The sequence below is a fragment of the Homo sapiens genome, chromosome 14 (assembly GCF_000001405.40).
Source record: "Homo sapiens chromosome 14, GRCh38.p14 Primary Assembly".
NCBI lineage: Eukaryota > Metazoa > Chordata > Mammalia > Primates > Hominidae > Homo > Homo sapiens.
The window spans coordinates 42,869,725-42,874,239 of record NC_000014.9 but is presented as its reverse complement, the minus strand read 5'-3'; the positions used below and the strand labels follow the sequence as shown (position 1 = coordinate 42,874,239).

Below are 4,515 nucleotides of genomic sequence, written 5' to 3'. Positions count from 1 at the left end.
AGAACTAAGAAGAATGGAGGGACAGCAGACCTTCCACAGAATTTGCTCACTGGGGGAGCAAGGTGGATATTTCTTCCTTTATAATGCAATCAGGAACCATGGAAGAAGGAGAACGACTATTACCCCAATAATGAGATGGAAAAATAGATGATTAAGATTATATAGTAAGTAAATAGAAGAGCTAGAAACAAATTGTCCTTCATCAAATTAAATGCTTTCCATACTCTACCATGATGGAAAAAAAAAAACCAGAATCTTATTGGTGAAAAATAAATAAGACAAAACACTAAAGGCATTTAGAACAGGTCAAAATAATGTATAGCTGGGTACAGAAACATTATGAATGTTAAGGACACTAATGTAGTTTGAGTGAAGATTTCAATCTCCAGTATACCCAGTTAGGGCTCAAACATTAGGAATGCAATAACTGTAGGTTGAATTTAATGAGACTTATGTTAGTTGTTCCAAAAGATTAAAGATAAATATAGTAATGCAAACTACTAGAGTAAGTGTTTTAATGTGGCAATATTAAGATCATTAGAAGATACTAGTCTTGTTGAATAAATGGAAATGATATGCTGCAATGTGTTTAAGGAATTATACACAGGATGGCATAGATGTAGCATCATAGCAATATACAATTGAACATTTTCATCATTATAAATATCTGGAAAGATATTTATAGAATAAAATAAGAAGAAATTTGGGTTCCTCCTTTCTTCTGTAAGTGGATATAATATAGACTAAAATTTGGTTATTCAGTTGTATAGACATGTTTTCATGGACATATGGTTTTATTTATATTTTGAAAAGTGTAGGAATTGTATTGTGTATTGTTCTTCAGAGAAAAAGACCAGTAGGAAATGTATATATGTGTATATACATATATATATGCTTATATGTGTACATATATGTGAATATATATACATATGCACATATATACAAAGAGAGAGAGATGCATTATTGGAATTGGCTCAAATGATTAGGAAGGCATAGTAGTTTTATTACCTGCAAGCTGGAGAACCAGGAAAGCCGGTGGCCAGTGGTGTAATTCAGCTCAAGCTGAAAGAGAGGGAGACAGGATTGTGTAAGATCTGGAGTCCAAATGCCTAAAATTCAGGAGCTGTGATGTTCAAGGGCAGGAGAAGATAGACTTCTTGATTCAAGAAGACAGAGCGAGATATTACGTTTAACCTGGCTTTTTGTTCAGGCTCTCAAAAGGCTGTTCAGGCTCTCAAAAGATTGAATGATGCCTATTCACATTGGTGAGAACAGATCATTTTACTCAGTCAACTGATTCAAATGCTAATGTCTTCTGAAAACACACTTACAGACATGCCCATAAATGTTTTACTAGCTATCTGAACATCTCTTAGCCCAGGCAAGGTGACATATAAAATTAACCACCACAGGACTGGAATAGCCGAGTTGAATGCTTAGAACTTTTTAAGATAAGACATTATTAGTCTTATCTAAGACTATCTTAAGGTAAGACATTATTAGTCTTATCTAAGACTATCTTAAGATAAGACATTATTAGTCTTATCTAAGACTATCTTAAGACATTACACACACACACACACACATAAATACATGTATACACATATACACACACACATTGAAACTTTCTATATAAACTATCATGTTGTTTGTGGATAAAAATAATTTTATTTCTTCCTTTTTCATTTGATGCTTATTATTATTATCATCATTATTATTGTTATTAATGGGGGATGATTATTATTTTGGCTACAATCTCTACTACAATGTTGAACTAAGTTGGTTAGATTAGATATTTTTTCTTGTTCCTTGTCTTAGGGATAAAACATTTAGTTTTTCACAATTCAGTATGATACTAGCTAGGGATTTTTCACAGATATGTTCTCTATCAGGTAAAATTCTGCATTGTATTGCTAGTTTTTTTGAGACTTTTATTATGTATAGATATTGGATTTTACAAATGGTTCTTAAGATGGTAATTTAGTTAAGTCTGTAAACACATTGAAATACATTAGTTGTTTTTTATTGTGAAATCAATCATGTATTCCTGGGATGAATCTCATTTTGGTCATGGTATATACAACACACATGTTGTATGTGGAGGGCAAATCACATTTATATATACTGTGACCAAAATGAGATTCATCCCAGGTATATATTGTTGAATTTGAATGTCTATCATTTTGTTAGAGAATTCTGTGCATTTGTTTATGATAGATATTGGTCTGTGGTTTACTTTTCTTTTAATAGCCTTTTCTGTTTGGGTATCAAGTGATGCTGAGTTCATAGAATGAGTTTGTAACTTCAAATTTCTGAAAAAGTTTTTGGAGAAATGTCATTATGTCTCCCTTACATGTTTAGTAGAATGCACCAATGAAGCCACCTTCTCAAGGACAGGAGTACTTTTTGCAGGAAATCTTTATTAATTAAAGTGTTGAGGTTTTTTTTTTATTATTATTATTATACTTTAAGTTTTAGGGTACATGTGCACAATGTGCAGGTTTGTTACATATGTATACATGTGCCATGCTGGTGTGCTGCACCCATTAACTCATCATTTAGCATTAGGTATATCTCCTAATGCTATCCCTCCCCCCTCTCCCCACCCCACAACAGTCCCCCGAGTGTGATGTTCCCCTTCTTGTGTCCATGTGTACTCATTGTTCAATTCCCATCTCATTGTTCAATTACCAAAAAACCAACATGCGGTGTTTGGTTTTTTGTCCTTTAAAAAATGAAATAAATTAAGTGGTTTTTTTTTTTAGTTAGCTTAAGTAATCTTCCTTTTTTAAGAACTTTATTCATGTATTCTAACTTCTCAGATCACTGGCAACGTACTTTATAATATTGTATTTCCTTTTTTTTTTATTGTTTACAGAATGTGTAGTGATGTCACTTTGCTCATTCTAAATACTGGTCATGTGTTTTCTCTCTTTTCTATAATGTCTACCTATAGATTTATTACTTTCATTTAATATTTACATTAATATATTTATAATGTTATATAAATGTATTTTATTTATATTAATATTATATTTGGATATTTTCAAATTATGTACTTCAGGTTTTATTTTTCTTCCCTTTAATGCTCATCTATTTTCTTTTTTCATTACTTTCAACTCTGGTACTCTTCCTACTCTTCTGCCTTATTTGGGTTTAATTTGTTCTTCTTTTATTTCTATAATTTCTTATAATGGAGGCTTAGTTCATTTTATTTCTTCCATGCTTTACATTTTCCTCAAATCACCGTTTTCTTTCAGCTTCAGCCCACAAGTTTTGTGTATGTTATGTTTTCACTCTCATTGATTAAGAATATTTTCTAATTTTCCTTTGGAATTTTTCTCTGGTCCATAGGCTCATTAGATGTCCATTATTATTAGTTTATATATTTTTCCCCCAGATAGATTTATCAGTTCTAGCCTTGGACAATCTCAAGGTCTGAGATTATTCAATATGCAATTAGTTATTTGGGCCCTTAACTTTATGCTAGTAACAAGTAGGCTGAGAAATTTGCACAAAAACATATTTTCTGATGCCTTTTCAGAAGCAACTAAGGAAGGTAATGGAGGAAGGAAGAACATCTCAAAGGACAGATGTCAATATACTTGAAAGAAATGCTGACAGAGAAGAACCAGGCTCAATCAACAAACATTATCACCTCCAGAGGGACCTACCTGGTAAAACTCAGTGGGATTTCAGAATTCCTATTGGCCACCCACTGCTCTTTGCCTCACATTTCTTACTTTTCTGAATGTGTGTACATTGTGTTTATCCGCTCCTATTTCAGCATTTTACACGTTGTGTGTGGAGGGCAAATCACATTTGTATTTAGCTCATAGACCACCAGATGAAGAGAAGCATCATGTGCAATCTTATATAAATCATTGGATCCTGAATTTCAATCCTGATTGTCATTAAATGTCTTTTGGATATCCTAGTATCTCTGTTACATTATTTCCCACACAAAGGTATATAAATTAATGCATCCAAGAGGGCAGACTGTGGTTAATTGCCCTGTTGATTTCAGCATATCACCCTTCCCTTTATCCACACCCCATGTCATGTTATTGGCTGTTCTTTCTAGTAAGAGGTTGAGTCTGTTTTCTCATCTGTGGAATTCGGGAGTACCATTTGATTTGTTTAGGATAATCAATTAAGCAGAGTGATGATGTGTCTATTCCAGTACTGGGGCTTAAGATGTCTTGTGAGTTATTATTTGCCCTCCTGCACTTTTGCCACTGCCTGAGAAGGACATTTATGAACTAGCCTGCTGGACTCAGGAAAAGGATGAAACATGAACAAGAAGGAGGTACAAAGCTGAATCATCCCAAGGCTAGATGTAACCAAATTCCGCATTCTATCCACCCACAGATGCTAAAGTGATTCAGCCATGCATATTAGAGCTGCACCATGGAGCACAGCTAGAACAGCTGAATGGTTTTGTATGTCACCCAGTCTAGGATTATTGTTATGTGGCAAGTGCTAACTGGTGCAAGCAATTGGTATCCCAATAAA

At 33.6% G+C, this 4,515-nt stretch overlaps 1 annotated feature.

Moving 5' to 3' along the window:
- Positions 986-1,495: an enhancer, noted in NCBI's record as "NANOG hESC enhancer chr14:43341948-43342457 (GRCh37/hg19 assembly coordinates)". NCBI's record gives its function as "activates a minimal SCP1, AML or CMV promoter by ChIP-STARR-seq in naive H9 embryonic stem cells {active_cell/tissue: H9 hESC(naive)}" and the evidence as "EXISTENCE:reporter gene assay evidence [ECO:0000049][PMID:30033119]".